Source organism: Homo sapiens, chromosome 5, assembly GCF_000001405.40.
Source record: "Homo sapiens chromosome 5, GRCh38.p14 Primary Assembly".
Classification (NCBI taxonomy): Eukaryota; Metazoa; Chordata; class Mammalia; order Primates; family Hominidae; genus Homo; species Homo sapiens.
This window is the reverse complement of record NC_000005.10, coordinates 156,347,443-156,368,602: the sequence shown is the minus strand read 5'-3', so window position 1 is coordinate 156,368,602 and position 21,160 is coordinate 156,347,443. Positions and strand designations below refer to the sequence as shown.

At 38.5% G+C, this 21,160-nt stretch overlaps 1 protein-coding gene and 1 long non-coding RNA gene across 10 annotated transcripts in view; one reads left to right on the top strand and one right to left on the bottom strand.

Moving 5' to 3' along the window:
* SGCD (sarcoglycan delta) overlaps positions 1–21,160 on the bottom strand; it is a 1,039,957-nt gene that overhangs the window by 399,186 nt on the left and 619,611 nt on the right. The gene's annotated exons all lie outside the window — the stretch shown is intronic.
* The window catches only part of LOC124901120 (uncharacterized), an 85,782-nt gene that overhangs the window by 7,667 nt on the left and 56,955 nt on the right, over positions 1–21,160 (top strand). The window contains exon 2 of the long non-coding RNA XR_007059016.1: positions 21,059–21,150. This is a non-coding gene — a long non-coding RNA (uncharacterized LOC124901120). The remainder of the gene's footprint in view (positions 1–21,058; positions 21,151–21,160) is intronic.

Sequence of the window (21,160 nt, the reverse complement as noted above, 5' to 3'; positions counted from 1 at the left end):
GCTTGCTAGCCAGTACTGGTCTACGGTCCAGAAGTACTGCCATTTAAAAAAATGAAGCTACAGAAGCCTTGACAGAATAAGAAATGTACTGCAAGTAACAAAAAAATCCTGTCTTCTTGCTTCCTACGGTAGAGGTTTCTTCTGGAAGAGACATTTCATGTCATAAGATAGAAAATAATAACCACAATTATGTGCTAAAAAGCATGAGTACAGGCCAGGCGCAGTGGCTCACGCCTGTAATCCCAGCACTTTGGAAGGCCGAGGTGGGTGGATCATGTAGTCAGGAGTTCAAGATCAGCCTGGCCAAGATGGTGAAACTCGGTCGCTACTAAAAATACAAAAAAATTAGCTGGGTATGGTGGCAGGCGCCTGTAATCCCAGCTACTCAGGAGGCTAAAGCAGAGAATTGCTTGAACCCGGGAGGCAGAGGTTGCAGTGAGCCGAGATCGTGCCACTGCGCTACAGCCTGGGTGACAAGAGTGAGATTTCGTCTCGAAAAAAAGAAAAAAAAAAAGCAAGCGTGAATACAGACTGTTTAAGCTAAAGATACTGAAGAAGCACTCCAGTTTTTGGAAGGGTAAAGGCTAGGATAGGTTTTAGTATGTTTTGGAAAGCTCCTCAATTAAAAAATATATTGAAAATGCTGAGAAACTATGAACAAATAGTTTCTACATAAGGGCACAGATTTCACAACATTGCTGAAGGTCAAACCTAGCTCAAATAGTCATGACATTTATCCTGGCACAATGTTCATGCTGTGTCACCAAGCTTGTGCGGCACCTCCAACAACCACCTAGCTTACAACACAACCACAGTTGAAAGCAGCAGGCATAGTCATCAGCGAGGCTGAGCCACAGCTGGGCCTAATGCTAACTCCCCGTCTGGCTGTGGTTAGGACCATTCCACAGGGCTGCCACATGGAATAAGTCAGAGGGGAGCTTCCATACTGTAGGAGGGAATGGTGTAGATTGTCAACATCCCTTCAGGGTCAAAGATCTACAGCTAAATGTTGTTCCGTATGTTCCAATATGTTGCAAAACTACATGACTGATTCTAGGTTAGAATTAACACATAGATTGAGCCTTTTAAAAAAATGAATCTGAATACACTTCAAGCTTGCTTCTCTGTTTTGTGCTTTCTGCCTATTATTTTTGAATAACAATTTCCTACCCTTTCCTCTCAAGGTTTGGAAAACATATACCTCTTAAGGTTGTTGTTGTTGTTTTAAAAAAAATTCAATCCACATTTTACTTACTATCAAAAACTGAAAAGTTAGTTTTTAAATTGCTCCTACATAATACACATCATTTTGCAGAAATTCATATCTCCATGCCCTTTCCTGCATCCTCTTTCTACCCCTTTCTCACCTTTGTGGATGTAAATCTGGCATTTTAGATACTGAATTTTAGATAAACATCTTATGTGTTTCTCAACAGTTTACAACTGGCATTTTATAATTTGCAGAAAATGTTTAGAAATTTTTCATATGTTAATAGTTCCAGAGCTTACCTCCCCCAGTCATTTTATAGCACAAGTCTCTCATTTTGGGGCTATTCTGTACTTAGCTATTAGTTGGCTGGCACAAACTGAGGGTGTAGAAGTTATGTTTTGTGACACTTAAAATACATGAGAAAGCATCTTAGATTTCTTTATAGAAGATAAACCATTTATCTGACTAAAACATTCTTGGAATTCATTTTTCCCTTCAAAAGTATCTAGATATTTTATTGTTTTCTGCTTTATTCTAAAGGAGAATTCTTTGATAGGCATGACTTTGTTTGCAAGATTTTTCTTTTTTTACACTGGTAACATATGCTTTGCCAGGATTTATCTGGGTGTGGTCATCTTTTCATTCACTTTGTCTGGCTTTCAATGAAAACTGACACTAGGTTCAGCTCAGAAGAATGTTCTTCATTGTATTGTTGCTATGTTAGCTCCAGTTCTAGCCTCTTCCTCAAGAATTTCTCTCATTCTTAGGAATTTCTATAGCTCATTCTCCATCCTCCATAGTAATCACATGTATTTCTTTAACCAGTTTTATTTTTTCTTCTGCAAAGCACCTCTTCTTATTCTTCACTTAGCTAATTTACTTTTTCTCAGTACAAAGTATTTGCTGATTCCAAAGTGGGTTTTTATTTGACTATTGCCTTTTTAGTACCTGTACATTTCCTGGGTGATTTCCCCTGATTTTAAAATCTTTCTATCTATGCCTGATCTGTCCTTCCAAATTTCCACTCTTGCCATGGAGAAATCACAATGACCCTGCCCTGTTCCACCACCACCTGACCTCAATTTTCTAAACCTTTCTTCTGATTTGTGAATTGTTTTCATCAGAGTGCTCTTTCTTCAAGTGCTCAGGATGATGTTCCTCTTCCTCACTTGGTAGTATTTTTCCGTAGACTCCACATGCCCTCTCTTCACACAGCAAAGAGGAAAAACTTATCCCAGCGCGATGCTGCTCTCAGGAGCACCCATGGGGGCACTGACTGAATGGTCTCACATTTGCAAAGTTGCCTTCATTTTGTCAGGAAGGCTTTTGTCTTTAACATTCTGAACACATGAAATTTATTAAGAACATTTTCTAGGTTGCATGGCTACTCATGTCTTCTTGTACCTTCTCTTGCTTACAGAGATTTATGTATAGAAGGTACATATTTATGCATACATACATACACATTTACATGTATATATGTGTATACACATATGTATACATGTATATGCATATATGAATGTATACACATACCCACGTGTATATATTTACATGTACATTTAAATATATCTGTATATTTTACATGTATTTATGTATACATGCATATACACATGGAAATATAGACATACATGTAAATAGGTGTGTATGTATACATATATACATGTATATATTGTATATATGTCTACATACACACATATATGCCCATATTTATGGGCATATTTATGCATACACAGATACACAAATACTTCTGTGTATATCTGTGTATATGTATGTGTATACATACATGTATGCATATGTATGTGGGGAAAGAAAACTGTAGTGCAGATGAACTCAAAAACAACATCCATGCAGAAAGAAGAGAAAACGCTCATCTTTCCAGTTGCTACTGACACTGGATTTTTGCATCCAGGGTACAAATACAGGTCAGAAGATAAAGCATCTCCTAAAGAACTCCTGGTGAGGGGAGGAAATGACCTGTTTCTGAAAGCATATCATATACTATCTTCAACTGTGTCCATTAATGTAGTTTCCTAAACCTTGAAGGTTCATGAAGACGCCTCCCAGAGTCTGGGAAAAGACTGATTGGAATTCCTAGTTTTTGGTAATAGATAATTCCTCATTCTGTTTTATCTTCAGACATTTTAGTAGGTAAGAGAGTGTGAGGATGTGAGTGTGAAGCGATAAGTCACTGTGCTTTTTATTTGCATATCTCTAATGACTATGATTTCTAGCATCTTTGTATGTGCTTGATGACCATTTGTACATCTTAGAGAAATGTCTATTCAAGTCTTTTGCCCATTTTTAAATTGAGTTGCACATTTTTATACTGTCATTTTTAAATCAGAAGTCCCTTTTTAAACTTCTCTCCATTGTAGAAGTGTACAGTGTTAGAGATAAAAGCTATCTGAGTATGCCCTTGCAACTCTCCGTTTTACCAACATGCACCATGATGCCCAGAGGCGACAGGTAGTATGCCCAAGGTCTCATAGCTTGTGAAAAAGCCCAGACCATAACTCAAATGTCCTAAGGAGGCTCTCTACAGTTCTGGAGAGAAAATGGCAAAGATACTTATTTGGAAAAAGTTTCCAAGCCAGTGTGTACTTTTGCTTTACCAATCTTTAGGGAAAAGGAGGAGTGACTCTCATTATTCTTGAAGCACTGTCCTGTCACTAACAATAGCCAGTCCTCATTTCTTATCCTCTGAAATGAGCAAAAATCCCACAAAGGGAGGGAGGCCAACTTCATACACATAGGGAAAAATGACCTTCCTATAGTCTGTGTACAAAACTAAAAAGATATTGAACCATTAAAGATTCCTTGAAAGTCACACACATACTGGATTTCTCCTTTTTCAACTGCTTATAGGTAGCTGCAGCCTAGAAATGGATGAAGGGTTTTTCAATTTATGCAATTGTCAGATATTTTTCCTTCTGCCTATAAGCCATGCACTGCCCCCAAAGCCAAATTTGCAAAGTATTCTTGCTAAGTATTTCATGGATTTCATTGCGCATTAAAAAAAAAAATGTAGCCCTGACACTAATAATAAGATAGGCACCAAAAACATGGTCCTTTTGAATTGATTCTATAAGACTGATTGTTAGTGAACCTTGGAGGAATACAGCAAGGAAGAACACTTTACAGATTCCAAATTCATATATACTGACCATTTTGAGGGAAAAGTCACTTTAAAGTCAAGAGGTTCCCCCAGACTTCTGCTGTCATAATCCCAGCATAACTCAGTAGATTCAGTTCTGAGAGATAGATCTGTGACTGCTTTCTCAGCATCCCCTCCTCTTTCATTTGCAATGACTCATTTTCACTCTGCTGCCCATACCTCCCTGCACAGCCCAGAGGCCTTGAGTATTAGGTGTGGGACTTGTGACTGAGACCACCAAGCCAATGATCATAATCACATTCCCTGGGTACAGTTATTCGTCCAGACCTGGGCATGTGACTCCCGTCAGGCCAATGTGACAGGTAGTGAGTTTTTCTGTGTGCTCCTGGGAAAGACATTTCTGGGTCTTCTGAAAGAGCTCCTGAAGCAATGACATCCCCTTTCCCTTCAACCAGGTAGACAGAAAAAGACAAAATTAATCAATTTCAATCTATATGTAAGATTTATTAGGGAAATAAGGGAACTAATAAGAAAATTTCATTGCCAATCAAAAGTGAAGGCATACTTACAGAGAATAATTTCTTAGAATTAGGCATGGCTTTGTAAATACCTCTGCAAAGGCAACAGCTTATACAGCAAGAGAATCTGGCTCAGTTTACAGTAATGTTATTCTTCTCAGGAAGAGAAATCCTGGAAACAATCAGGATATTTAAAAAAATAATAGCTATTATTTTTGACATTGAGCTGATCAATGAAATTTGAGCTGTCATTCAAATAGACTAAAAAAACCTAGGTAACTTAATGAGAAGAAATAAACTTAGGAGAGCATACCAAAATCATATTTTAAATTATTTTTCTGCTTCCATCAAAACAAAAGCAATGTTATACTTTTTTCACTGCATTTTCAAAACATGAAACGTGGGTTGCAGGGGTAATCACTGACTCCCTTAATAAAATCATAAATCAAAGGAAAGAACAATACTTTTAGAAATACGTGAGTTACCATGGAAGGCTAGAAATGTAGATAAACTGAAATCTGACATTTAGAGGTCAGTAGTGAAGAGGTTATTGTTTACACGGAAAGCTATTTGTGCAATTAACTGAAATTAATTATGCTTGTATAAACTTCATAAACATATCACAGATCTGGATTTTTGACTAATTAAGCTTTAATTTAGCTGCAAAAACTAAACCATATAAGCATTTATCAGAAAACCCTACTCACCCATTAAAAAAAAAAGGTAAAATCATAGATTTTAGAAACCATCTGGAGAAATAAACAATTTAGGGAAAGCTGCAAAGACAGAAATTATAGTCAATTATCCCAGATGTAAAGCCATATTTTGAGGTTATGCTGTCCTTCAATTTCTCAAGAGTACCCCTTAATTAAATGCAAATAATCAGAAATGGCAATTAATATATTGCTATAATTCCCTGATTAGATAGTGGAGTCCATTTACAATGTTTGAAGGTTGCTGTGACTCTGAATAAAGCAAATAGAGTATATGTCATGAAATGCTCCCAAGTATCCCTTATTGGAAAAGTTCTCCATAGTGGTCCATCCCAGAGACTAGCCACGAGGTTCACAGTAGTCACACTATGGAATGCTATTTCTGTTTTTTTCATTTGTTTTGAGATGGAGTCTCTCTCTGTCACCAGGATGGCATGCAGTGGCGTGATCTTGGCTCACTGCAACCTCTGCCTCCCGGGTTCAAGTGATTCTTCTGCCTCAGCCTCTCGAGTAGCTGGGACTACAGATGCGCACCACTACTCCCAGCTAATTTTTATAATTTTAGTAGAGATGGGGTTTCACCATGTTGGCCAGGATGGTTTCAGTCTCTTGACCTCATGATCCGCCCGCCTGGGCCTCCCAAAGTGCTGGCATTACAGGCATGAGCCACCACGTGCCAGCCTCGAATGCTATTTCTAAACCATTTGAACACTCAACCTTTATTGACAAATAGGAATATTGGCTTTGAAGAGGGCTTCCAAGAAGGCAGAGATTTTGAACCACCTGATGTAAGCATCACACCATACAAATCAGAAATAAGCCAGTAAAGGTCAAATGGCCTCTCATGAATGACATAGTGCAGTGTGGAGACTCAAGTACATGTGTGTTGCTTCTTCATTGGCTCCTACTTAGGGTGTGTGTTCCTACAGTGGAGACTGTCTGAATGGCAATTCCCTTTTCTTGACACTACACATAGACAGCCTACTCTAAGTCCTTTCTCAATCAGGGCTTTTGAACTTGCTTTTCCTTCGGCCTAAAATCTTGCCCAGCTCTTCCCATGACTGTCTCAGTATCATTCCTTTAGGCTTCTACTAAAATTTGCCTTTCCAGGGAGGCAAATGCTGATCCATGTCCAAAGTAATCCACATGCAATTTCACGTTGTCATCTCTCTCTGTAGACTTCAGAGGATGCATCACAACCAATAATTATTTTAGTTTACCTCTTTATAGGCCATCTCATGCACCAGAATAGCTATAGTTTACTGTGTTTCACAGAGTCCTATTTTAAGTTGAACCAGCAATAATGTGTACATATAAAATATTTGAGTCACCGTATTTCTTACAGTAATGATGATTTTCAGCAACACCCAAGTTACATATGCTTTTAAGACTCTATTAGTCATTCCTTTAAACATGAGCTTATGACTCTGTGCTGAATTTTAGCAACTGAAACTTATTTTCCTCTTTGTAAGACAATTCTCCAAATGTTTTAAGTTGACAGGGATAAAAACTAGCACTGAGTGCCTACCATACTCTACTTTCTGGTTATCTCTAATCTTTATTACAACTTTTCAACACAAGTATTGCTAATCTCACTAGTACAAATGAGTAAAGGAAGGGTCAGAGAAGATTAGGTACTTTGCCAATAATTGTCTAGATCATCAGTAACAGAGCAGAAGCTTCCAGGTCTGTCTTCTTCAAAACCTGGTAAATTACACTGCTTCTCTCCTAAAATCACATGTATGTGCACATCAGGATTTTTCCGAATCATCCTTTTGGTGCAAGATTTTTCTTGGCCCCTTCATTGGACTTGCAACAGGGGTGCCCTATTATTTGGCTTGCCCACTGTGCTCAACCCCTTGCAGGAGGGAGCGCATGAACAAGCAACTACAGGATCTTGTTGGGCGCTCCAGGCTCCAGCAGGAGCAAGCTCCATATGGGGCCTGCAGCAGCACCCAGGTTAGGGTGCCCATGACCCCGAAGCCCCAGAGGGGCTTACAGCATTACAGTATTCTCTTAGTTCTGCCATCTGCAGGTGGCAGTGTGTTAGCAGCTCAATTGACCCCTTGCCTCAATCATGTGGGGCAGTTGCCCTCTGTCAGTGAGAGCAAACGGCTGGTGTGACAGCCTTTCTGGGTACCTACTCTTGGTGGGCGCCAAGCCCTTGTCTGGCATCCAAGTAGAATGAGGTCATGCAGACAACTGAAGGATGGTGAAGGCTAAGATTTGTATTAAGTGATGAAAATGGCTCTCAGTAGAAAGGGGAGCTGGAGAGGGGATGGGAAGGGTGAGTCGTCTTCCCCCAAAGTCAGGCTGTGTCTTTCACAGTCTGGCCATCTCTTCTCCAAAGTCCAGTGGTCTCCTCAAAGTCTGGCCATCTCCCCCTCTACTGACTGAGTCTGGAGTCTTTATAGGCACAGGATGGGAAGTGTGTGCTGATTGGGTTGTGAGTATGCAATAAAGGTTAAAGTGAAGACAGCACTCAAAGGTGGACACTACAGTGTAAAAAAACCAATTAGGCCTGTAATTCCAGCACTTTGGGAGGCCAAGGCAGGCAGATCACCTGAGGTCAGGAGTTTGAGACCAGCCTGGCCAACATGGTGAAACCCCATCTCTACTAAAAATACAAAAATTAGCCAGGCATGGTGGCAGGTGCCTGTAATCCCAGCTACTCAGGAGGCTGAGGCAAGAAAATTGCTTGAACCAGGGAAGCAGAGGTTGCAGTGAGCCAAGACTGTGCCATTGCACTCCAGCCTGGGTGACAAGAGCAAGACTTTGTCTCCAAAAAAAAAAAAAAAAAATTAGGAAAGGGTAGGTATATGTAAAATAGGCGAAGGGTAGGGATCAACCAGAGGAAAGCACACCAAACAGGAAGACAAGTTCTGAATTTGATCTGAGGATTTAAGTTGTAGCTTTGCTTTCAGGCTTTAAACTGTCTTTAGCTTGGAGGTGGGGTTTCAGTGGGGACCCGCCCCTGTCTGCCTGGACATTTGGCTGCTCCTGTCACTATCACTTTGCACTATGGGATCAGGGCAACCCTGGACAATGAGAGTCAAATGGAAAATGAACCAAGAATTTGAGAAGTCTGGACTGAGAGGATTTGCTCCAACATAATTAAGTCCACCAGTTGTGAGGCCTCTTAACCTTTCTAAGTTCAGTAGGTGATTCATACAATATGACAGAAAAGAATCAATAAGGTCCATTAGAAAACACAAAGAGAAAACAATTTCTCAGTAAGCTGTATGGGAGGTATAGCACCAGCTGTGAATAAGTATTCATCTTCATATGTGTGCATTAAGAAAGTTCCAGAAATGAGTGCATCTTAGGGATACTGGAGACCATCAGCATTCTTCATGTGCCCTGCTGTTGACTCATCTTAATAATACCACAAGCACAGAGACTAAGGCTCTGAGGAATGGAGACAGTATCTTCTCAGACTGCTGAGCATCAGGGAGGATATGTGCAACAGCTGTTAGAAATTCTGGGTCTAGGCTGGCTTTATATCCCAGCTCTGCGACTTACTGCAACCTTAGGAAAGTGGCTTGACCTCTTCTCTAGATTAATTTTCTCATCTGGGAAACGAGGGTAATTATAGGACTCATCTTCTAGGGCTGTTACAGAGATTAGATAATATGTTCTATGTTAAGTGCTCAGTATCACACCTGGCACAGAATAAGCTCTTAATACATGTTATCCTATTAATTAATGACAATAATCAACCTGTGAATCCTGAGGTCAATGTTGATATACCTGTAAGTGGCCAGATACAGTTTTGTGCCAATGAAGAAAGCAAAAGACTTGTTATAAACCAGCTCCAAAGAAGAAAGCAAAAGACCTGTTATAAACCAGTTTCCTTTTCATAACACATACAGTATTTGTATTCACTATGAGTAATTATAGTCTGATTCTATCCTCACAGGTGAGGTCCCCAATTATACCACAAGGTAGCCAAATAGTCCTTAAGAAACCAACTGTCATGACTTTTCCCTATTTCTATTTATGATTCTTTTCTCTTCCCTTTTAGCTTCTTATTTTTAATTTTTCTTGAATCCCACAAGTGTTACATAAGTGCATTCTCCTCACCAAATGTTCAACAGCATAAGGTAGCATGGAAAAGTTGCCTTCCACCCCTCTCCCACCTGTCTCCCCACCCACCACCACCACCAGTCAACTCCTCTCCCAGAGGAAACATCAGATTTTCTGCAGATCCATATACAACATTACTAGATGCCCATTTCTTCATTTTACTTTGGCTTCCTTTGTTGAGTTTTCATTTTTAACATCTGTGCAATCATCTTGACTTGAAAGCCCCTCTTCAATTATGCCAAATCACCCCTTCCTGCCTTCTTTACACCATCCACTTATCCTGACTGTTCTTTTACATTTATTTGATTGTGTTAGTAATTCCAATCCCTTCCCCATTAGACAGATAGCTCCATGAGGGAGGAACGGCATTTGCTCTTCTTCACTCTCATATCTCAAGCACTTAGTATAGTCCTTGGCCCACTGTAGGAACTCAACAAGCATGTGTTGAATAAACAACTGTTTCTCATTCATAAGGCTGTCAATATATCATAATTATAGTAATAATTGACTTGAAGAGGTGAGGATTTCCAATAGAAACCATTCACTTAACTGAGACTAGGAAATAAGTCAGAAGCACAAGGCTCTCCACTAGTGAATGAACAAGACACAAATTATTTCTGCTGTCTCCTCCCTGCCAAGGATTGCAATGCAGGTTTCAATTCAGACTACCTGAAATTGCTTATATGAACTATAAAGCATTCATTTATTAAATGGCAAGCAACTATGTATGGCACAAAGCTGATTTTACCCAGGGAGTGACTGAGTGACCCAAATGATACTTTTCCTCTGTCTTTGGGTTTTATGGACAATACTTCCTATTTTATCATATAATTAAGAGATTATGAGAGAAAGAGAGAAAACATGGTTACTTAACATGGCAGATGACAGCCTCATGTAATAATGGTCAAAACTCCCATACATCGGCCAATCCAAACTGGATGATTAGCTAAGGGACCAGAATGTACTGAGACTTTAACCCTTTACCTCATGAATACTGGCTCAGTGACTTGCCTGATTCTGCAGAAAGTCAGTGTTGCCGAGTTCTGTTATCCATTGCTCATTCTTATTTATTCTAAAGTTGGGGGGTTGACCATAGTACATATTAGGCATGAGACCTAGGAAGTACTCCACTTAATAAAGCTGGCTGGTAATTAAAAGCCGGTCAAAATGCATAATTTTTATCTACACAAGCATTCAGTGAGGTTTCTACAATAAACAGAAAGGCTGCCCTACTACTGAGAACTGTTTGCCTATTCTTTAACTTTATTTATCAAAGCAACAAGCAGTTTACATGTAACTGAGTGAAGCACAAAAGTAACTGAAAAGCAACAAAATTATGATTCTTCTAACATAAATACAAGCTATGTAGTTAGTATGACCCCTTAAAATTTTTCATGAGAATAAAACCGCTTGAGTCGACAATGGCTGAGCCAATACTGAAGTCATTTTAAAATGCCCATTCCTCATTGACCCTAGCTATACAATGACCACCATTGCCACTGAACATTATACAAGTAAATTCATTACTGTTTATAAGACATTCATTTTCCTTTTTGACACTAAATGTTTTCAGAGAAAATTAAAAGCATAAGCTTTGAAGTTAGACATATCTTGGTTTATATATTGACCTGGCTACCCACTAGCTAAAAAGGTTGGACAGGTGAATTAAGCCTTCTATGCTTCAGTTTCTTTACATAGAAAGAGGAGATAATAGTCCCCATTCACAGGGTCATTGTGAGGAGTAAGAGAAAACAAAGCCAGGCACTTAACATTGTTCAAACAATGTTCAATACAGGTGTGGTGACTGCACGCTTAATAGCATTGATGGTGGCGGTACTGTTGCACAGATTGTACTTTTCCTAAAATGGCCATAGCAGTATCTGTGTATCAGTTTCCTGTGGCTACCATGACAAATTATCACAAAACTCTCAGCTTAAAACAATATAAATTTTCTCAAAGTTCTAGAAGCCAGAATTCCAAGCCCTCTGGAGGCTCTAGACGAAAATCTATCCCTTGTCTCTTCCCAATTCTAGTGGCTATCAACTTTCCTTAATTGGCGGTCCTATCATGCCAACCTCTGCTTCTCTGATCATATTGCCTCCTCCTCTTCTGTGTCAAATTTTCCTCTGCCTCATCGTTATGAGGACACTTGTCATTGAATTGAGGGCCCACCTGGGTAATCCAGGAATTATCTCCTCATCTCATAATCCTTAATTTAGATGAGACCCTTTTTCCAAATAAGGTAACACTCACAGGCTCCAAGGATTAGGAGCATATAATGTAGGGGGGCACTATTCAATCCATTACAATCTCCCATCCCACGTACTCCTCTAGAACTTTGCAATTCCCCCATGAAGAAGTGGAGCCCATATGCCCTCTACTTGAATTTAGGCAGGACTTTGTGTCTGCCTACAGCAGAGTAGAGTGGAAGTGATGCAATCTGACTTCTGAGTCTGGTTCATAACAATGCTATGCACTTCCATCTTCTTTAAATGGAACATATATTCTAGAGTTTAGCAACCACGTTAAGGGCAAGCCCAAGTTAGCCCATAGGGAAGAGCTGTGTGTAGGCGTTCTGGCCAGCTGAGGTTCCAGCTGACAGCTAGCATCAACCACCCACACATGTAAGTAAACACACCTGGAGATAATTCCAGTCCCAGCTGTTGAGATACCCCAGGCCTTTGAGTCTCCCAGCTAAGGTGCTAGACATCAGGGAAAAGAGACAAGCCATCTCCCCTGAGCTCTGCCCAATCTGCAGAATCATGAGTAAAACAAATTATTGCTGTTTTATTAAGCCACTAAGTTTTGGGGTAGTTTGTTGTGTAGCAATAGATAATCAGACCAATTATTCATTAAGTAATTAAATGAATGAAGATTAGAAATTTATAAAGGCACATAAGATATACTCCCTGGCACTTAATATATTGGATCTTTGGCTAAGCAGATACAGAGTAAGCAAACATACACACTCACACCCTCACACTTCTAGAAGAAAAAAGATGTCCATCTTTCTCATTCTGGGTCAGGGAATATGGAGGACCCAGTGATCACACACAGAAATTATGTGAGGCCGAGGCAGGCAAATCACTTGAGTTCAGGAATTCAAGACCAGCCTGGCCAGCATGGCGAAACCCCATCCCTATTAAAAATACAAAAATTAGCCAGGCGTGGTGGCACATGCCTGTAATCCCAGCTACTCAGGAGGCTGAGGCACAACAATCGCTTGAACCTGGGAGGCGGACTTTGGAGTGAGCTGGGATCACACCATTGCACTCCAGCCTAGGCAACACAGTCAGACTCTGTCTCACAGAAAAACAAAAATTATTTGAGGGTGTTGGACCTTATGTATCATCTGATCCAACTGTATATTTTACAAGTTGGGAGAATATGGCTCAGAAACAGTCCCTGCAACTCCTTCCTGAATACAGCTCTTCACCCAACAAAAGTCCACCTTGCTCCTCCCAGGCAAGATGAAAAATCTAGCACAGTCTCAGAACTTTTCCAATTAAGAATATTGAAAGGAAGAAATGAGACAGAATGAATGTGTGGAAAAGGTACAAAGCTGATTAAAAAACATAGTAGTTATCTTGGCTGTTAATCAGATTATGAGAAATTTTCTTCTCCTTTTTATATTAAAATGGTTTTGGTTTGTTTTCCTACCTTAATCCCACAGCTCTGGGTCTTGGAAAGTGCCTGGGGCACAGGAAGGAAAGGCAAAAATTGTTGTATGGTGAGGCACAAAGAACTTTTTGGTTCACAGGCCTTACCATGCCATCCAAGATGTAGCTAAGAAGTAGGACATTAGATTTTGGACCAGTTTTGAAACAAAGAACTTCCTGTGATGATGGAAATAAACTGTATCTGCTCTAAGATGGCAGCTACTAGCCAGGTGTAGCTGTTGAACATTGTGACATGACAAGTGTGACTAAATAGACATCTTCAATGTTAATTTTAAATCCTTAATAGACAGTGTCATTCTAGAAAGATCATTTACAAACAACTCTGAACCTAGAAATCTTAACTAATGATTCTCAGGCAAACCAACTGATGGGAAACCAACTCATATTTACTGGTTCTTTCTACAGTTTGAATCACCTAACCCCACCCCTGTCTACCATGGAAGGACTGACCTGCAGGTTCTCAGTGGCAGCAAGCCCTTGGGATTTGCTGCTTCTCTTCTATGATTGCTTAATAACTCAGTCAGCATGAACAGATCCTTGTGATGTGGCCACAAGTTCAGATTTCTGAGAGTTATTCAGAGCTCACAGCAACATGACCAGTAAGAACTGAAGTTTCCATGTGTGAATGGCTATGTGTGATATACAAAGACAAAAAATATTTCCAGGAAGATTTTCTAACATTGTTCCTCTCAATTCTAGGACATAAAAATAACTTTAGTTGTATGAAAACTCTCGTAAGTGGAAAAGGTCACGAATATTGTCCAAATAATAGGATAAAGTTGCACAGTAATTTCTTTATAATTGGAATTCAAGCTTTTCAGTTTGACCTCTCCAAAGTCTATAATTTGCAGCCTTTTTGACTTTACTCATGTCAGCTCCTATTCTCATCTTTCCCCATCCCCTCTTTCCCCTCCAGTGGCCTAAGCTCTCAATACTAGAACCATTATGCCTGAGGCTCCCCAATCAAGTTTAACTTACCAGCTTCCAGACTATAATCACACTGCTTTCTCTGCTTCCACCACCACACAAAAGGCCTTATCCATCCTTGGTGACACAACTCAAGAAGCCTTCCAGTGCCCTCTAACTTTAGCTAATTTATTCTTTCCGCAACTTTCATACTTCTTTAAAACATTTAATTTGTGGAAAGTACTAAAATTATACATGTGTTTTCTTCCCTAGTAAATTATGAGTACTTAAAGTATAGAATTGTTTTATTCTAATCTTTAGTTTCTACACAAAGCATAGTATACTCAACTGTGTGCTTAAGAAATACTGATTCAATTGAAGCAGATATGCCCAATAGATTGTATAACTTTACAGCAGCTTTGATTCATGTTATTTGCAGTAATTATGATACCCAAATCATCCCTGATGCTTTACATTCTCACAAAGGTATAAAACACAGGAAGTTTCAAACCAAATAGGACATTAGAGAGCCATATCCTAGGACTGACCATGGAATAAAAATAAATTTTTGTTTTTTGTTTTTCTGCATTACAATTTTTATGGTGCTTTTAAAAAACAACATTTTGGCCATTTTTCAGATGGATGGATTGAGCTAATGGATTAAAAGTGACCACACAGTCAAAGCACTGAGAGATGGAAGCATGATTTTCTCAGTAGAGGAAGCACTTCCAAGTCCCCAAGCTAAGCTGGCACCCGCATTGAAGCGGATGCTACTCAAACTCACAATATATTAACAGTGTTAAATGAAAAGTATAACTAATGCCAATAATATCACTTTCACCCATTTACTAAGCAAATCTGTATATTAGCTAGGATGAAGTCTCCTACCTTTAATCTATTTCACACTCCATCATTACCCTTCTTTTCTCATGTAATTAAAATGTAGCAGGTAGTTGATACACAGAGCGAGTGTCTGTATTAAAAATACCTTTTCATAATCAAATTCAAGCACTCATCTCATTTATGATCTACCTTAATAAATCAACTAATACTTCATTTTAGAAGTCATATAAAGCTCTATTAACCCATCTTTATACATTTTAATTTAAAGTGACTGCCTATTCATAATTTTCTCCCTTTCATTTATTCAATAAACATATTCTAAGTGTCTGCCATGTACTTTATATGTATCCTCACTCCCCTCAACTTGAGTTAGTTTGACTGGGTCGCAGTTCCTTGAGCTTACTCAAAACAGATGATGTGTCAGGGTCCTGAGTTATGGAACATGCTGGCTGTTCTCTCTGGCTTTTACTGTTTTACAATGTGTCCAATTTACAAGCATTAGAATGCCTTCCTCTGACCCTCAGTGGATCTTTATCTTACTTCAGGGTAAATAAACCATGTTTTAGACATTGCACTGAACAAATTCAACTTGTCTTCATGAAAAATAGCCCTTGGAAAATGGGCAGCATTGTGTACTGAAGAAGAGCAGTGACTGTAGAGCCAGACTCCCTGCAACCCATCCCAGTTTCATCATTCACTGACTGTGTGACCTTGGGCAAGTTACTGCACTTCTTGGAGCCTCCACTTCCTCCTCTGTCAAATGTGGATAACAAGGGTGCTTAGCTCATAGGGTTCTTATGTGCATCATGTGAAAACCTTATAAAGTTAATCCTGTATGAGTTTTTATGAAATAAATGGAAATTCATTTCTTACATGATCACAAGTGACAACAGTTTGGATTTTGTAATGTTAACGAATAGAAACTAAAATAGAAATCAGGAGATCTATATACTACAGGTATAGGTAGCTATCATTTACTGAGGTCCTACCATGTCAGCAACATGATCAGATACTTGATATCCATTATCTCCTTTGTGTGGTCTGCAAAAGGCAATCTACAGTTAACACATGTTGAAAGCCTACTGAATAGCAGGCATTGAGCAGGGCTACAAAAATGTATAGAGAATAATCCCTGCTACTGAGAGAAGTTTCCAGAGCAGCTGGGGTGCTCAAGCTGGTCAGAAAACTTTGCTATCTACTTTGGTTCCAACATCTGTAGAATAAGGATGTCTGATGAGGTGACTCCTAAGGTTCCTATTTCATCTAATTTTACAAGTACTGGGATAAGATATCATGCCATCCACTGATGACTCCTAAGCCTTTTGTAGTTTTGTCACTTAATAACCACTTGTGCTAAATGATTGTCTACATGATCAATACTACAGTATTTTGGAAGGTCTTTGAGGCCAGGTTATTCTGATTGGGCTGGTAGAATGCACTAGCAAAAGTAACAGCTCTCTATTAGAATGAGACTTCATACAGCCTAGGGAAATATAAAATGACAAAAATCAGTGTGCAAACAGGAAGATGCCCGAGATGACATCTAGTCCAATGCATTTAGTGGTATACTGGGTTCCAGAAGAGAAAGGCAATGTAGTTCATGGCCAGTTAGGGCTGGGAATCCAGTTTCTGACACTCATGGCATTATGCACTGCCCCACAATATGACAAACTAGCCAACAGACCAGGATCCATAGTCAGACTGCTTGGGTTCGAATCTCTACTCTGAGGCTTTATAGCTGTTTGATCTCAAGTTATTGAGCCACTCCCTCCCTTGTAAAATTGGTATCCAAATAGTGGCAGCCTGGATAATGATTAAGTTAGATAATATTTGCAAACTGTAACTGCGACAGTGTAGTGCCTGGCAGAGAATAAGCCTGCAGTAAATGATGATGATGATGATGATGATGATGATGATGATGATGATGACTACGACGATAGCAAACACTTCTATAAAGTGTTTACTATGTGCCAAGCACTAAACAATGCATTTATCACCTCCTCTAATCTTTACAACAATCCTAGGAGGTAGGTATTGTCATTACTCCTAGGAAATGGCAGCACAGGGAGGTTGAGAAACTTATCAAAAATCACATAGTAAGAGACAGAATCCAGATTTTTACTTAGAACATCTGTCTCCAGAGTTTGAGCCCTGAACTACTATACTGTCATGAAGGGTCTCTCATGACTTTCTGTTGTCAACACTGACTCTTCCTATGTGTCAGATTCTGCTAATAATGCTTCACATGAATTAACTCACTGGGTCTTCCACCAACCTATGGGTAGATATTAAGTTTATACTAAATGCTTATGTTAACACATCAAATGGACAAAACACAAGGTGGGAACAATGCAAGGAGAAGGTCCTCAGCTACACAGCAAAGAGAAATTAGATAAAAACCAAACATTCGGAACTACCAGGGAACTACTCTAAACATAAAACGTCACTGGATACCTCAGATGAAAGTGACCTATGACACAGGGTTGGCAAAGATAACAAGCTATTTTTCCAGCTTCAGAATTCTGTTGAAGAGCCAGATCATTATTGCAATTTGGAGGAGGAGGTAAAGTGTAGTGGAAAGGTTGAGACAGGAAGTCAAACACCAGCGTTTTACTTACTAGCTGTCTTTCAGCAAGTCACTCAACTTCTCTGAGCCTTGGGTTTTCAGTGGGAATAACAATATTAAATTTGTAGAGTTATGAAAGTTAAAAGATTTTAAGGGCCATGTACAGTGAGTAGCACAGAAGAGACATTTAATAAATATTAGCTCGTTTGTATAAGCACAATGTGTGATAAACTAAGGTCTATTTGTGGGTGTTTACAGTGTAGGTAAAACACACACTCTCCAATGTATGGGGAAAATGAAATATGTAGTCTCAATCTCCTGCCAGTAATGAATACTGGAATATTCTGCTAAGAGCAGAAGAAAGCAAAATAACTTTTCTTCTGATTTACCTCTGAGACAAAGAAAACTTGGTAAGATGCTTGTCCAGATTGCTTTACTGGAAAGGCTCTTCCAGCATGTATCCTTGGGGATAGCACAGAATGCAAGACTGACAAAAAAAGTAAAATTCCAGATTTTCAATCTTGGATAGATCACCAAGGTTTCACAAACACTTTCAGATGACATCGTTCTTATAGTTCGTCATTACACAGGGGGTTTGATTACAGTGTGAGCTTTCCCAAATCTCAAATTGTTGAACAAACCAAACATACAAAATAATCACTCTTTCCTACATAAATGTGTGGGTATATGTGTGTGTGTACATATATATATATATATAATTTTTTTTCCTCAATAGCTTTAGAGATACAAGTGGTTTTTGGTTACATGGATCAATAATATAGTGGTAACCTCTGGAATTTTAGTGTACCCACCACCGAGTACTGTATACTCTACCCAACAGGTAGTTTTTCATCCTTCATCATCCCCTTCCCACCCTCTCCTCTTCTGAGTCTCCAATGTCCATTATACCACTCTATATGCCTGTGCATACCCTTAGCTTAGCTCCCACTTATCAAAAAGAACATGTGGTATCAGATTTTTGATTCCTGAGTCACATCACTTAGAAAAATGGCCTCTGGTTCCATACAACTTGCTGTAAAAGCCATTATTTCATTCTTTTTTATGGCTGATGGTGTATGTATATCACATTTTCCTTATCCACTCACCTGTTCATGGGGACTTAGGTTGGTTCCATATCTTTGCAGTTGTGAAATGTGCTGCAAAAAAAATATACATATGCAGGTCTCTTTTTGACATAATGACTTTTTTCTTTTGGGTAGTTACCCAGCAGTGAGATTACTGGATCAAATGGTAGGTCTACTTTGATGTCTTTGAAAAATCTCCAAACTGTTTTCTATAGACATTGTACTAATTTACATTCCCATCAGCAGTATATAAATATTCCTTCTTCACCACATCCAAACCAACATCTATTTTTTTTAATTTTTATTAATAGCCATTCTGCTTTGGGTAAGGTGGTATCTCATTGTGGTTTTAATTTGCATTTCTCTAATGATTAGATCTGTTGTACTTTTTTTATGTTTCTTGGCCATTTATATCAATTCTTTTGAGAAATTTCTATTCATGCCATTTGCCCACTTTTTAATGAGATCACCTGTTTTTTTTTCTTGTTTAGAGTTCCTTATCGATTCTGAATATTAGTCGTTTTGTCAGATGCATAATTGCAAATTTTTTCTCCCACTTCATAGGTTGTTAATTCTGATTACTATTTCTTTTACTGTGCGGAAGCTTTTTAGTTTAATTAGGTTCCATTTATTTATTTTTGTTTTTGTTCCATTTGTTTTTGTGGTCTTAGTCATAAATTATTTGCCTAGGCCAACATCCAGAAGTGCTTTTCCTAGGTTTTTCTTTCTAGAATTTTTATGTTCTAGAAGTTTTCAGGTCTTTAAGTCTTTCATCCATCTTGAGTTAACTTTTTCAATACAGTGAGAGACAAGGATCCAGTTTCATTATTCTTCGTGTAGCTATCCAATTTTCCCAGCATCACTTATTAGAGTGTCCTTTCTCCAATTTATGTTTTTGTATACTTTGTAAAAGATCAGCTGATTTTAAATATTAGGTTTTATTTCTCGGTTCTCTCTTCGGTTCCATTGGTCAATGTGTCTACTTTTATAGCAGTATTATGCTGTTTTGGTTACTATAGCCTTGTAGTATAATTTGAAGTCCGGTAATGTGATGCCTTCAGATTTGATCTTTTTGCTTAGAATTACTTTGGCCATTTGGACTCTTTTTGGTTCCATATGAATTTTAGAAATGTTTTTTCTAATTCTGTGAAAAACGACATTGATATTTTGATAGGAAGTACATTGACTCTGTAGATTGCTTTGGGCACTATGGTCATTTTCATGATAATGAGTCATTCAATTCATGAGCATGGGATGGTTTTCCATTTGTTTGTGTCTTCCACGATTTCTTTTAGTAGTGTTTTGTATTTCTCCTTGTAGAGATCTTTTACCTCCTTGCTTAAGTATCTTCCTAGGTATTTAAAATTTTTGTAGCTATTATAAAAGAGATTGAGTGCTTAATTTCTCAGCTTGGCCATTGTTGGTATATAGCAGTGCTGCTCATTTGTGTACATTGATTTTGTAACCTGAGACTTTACTGAATTTAGTTTATCAGATCTAGGAGTCTTTTGGAGGAGCCTTTAGAGTTTTCTAGGTATATGCTCATGTAATCGGCAAACAGAGACAGTTTGACTTCCTCTTTCCCAATTTGGATGCCCTTTATTTCTTTCTCTTTCTTGATTGCTCTGGCTAGGACTTCCCCTACATATATTTTTAAATCTCTGCATAAACTGCTTTACTGCCATCTCATTGATTTTTTTCTCTTTCTCCAACGTAACAGTGCTTAATACCTCATTCTTTCCCCACGATCTCCACTGTCAGTAAATTTTTATTTGTGCAAGAGAATTATAATTCTAAAAGAATATCCTTTATACCATGATTGATGGAAAATATGCTTTTAACTTGCAGGGCAAGACCAATTTTCTAACACTTCAGTTCTATTTGCTCAAATGCATTATTGGCTATAAAGTACCAATTATGCCTAATAACAGCATTATTCTTATCTCAGTAAGTTTGGTAAAGCTTTAAGGACTCTCAATTTTGGCAATCAATTTAGTTAACTGCAGGAAAGAGCCGATTTCATATAGATTATTACCTTAATGTCATATAAGTGGTACTCAATATACATTTACATATACTTCTATTAAGTCTTCCAGATAAAACATACTCTAGAAGCAGTATTGGTATAATATCACAGTTATCAAAGTTTCAGCTCATATTTTCCACTTCCTCTACCCCTAAATCTTACAGGTTCTACAAATTAAATTTGTGACAGTCTTGGTAAAAATCACAAAAATAAGGGATTAAGAGGATAGCTTCAAATAGGGGACTAAAGGTATACATGAGTACTAGCCAAGTTCTAGTGGAAAAGTAATAAATTCTATTTTGCTTTTTAGGACCCACCACCCAGCCATCTCACCATCCTAAAACCAGAAATCTTCCAAAATGTCTTCTGATCCCTCAACCCTACATCCAACCAGAAGTCAAGGTATATCAAT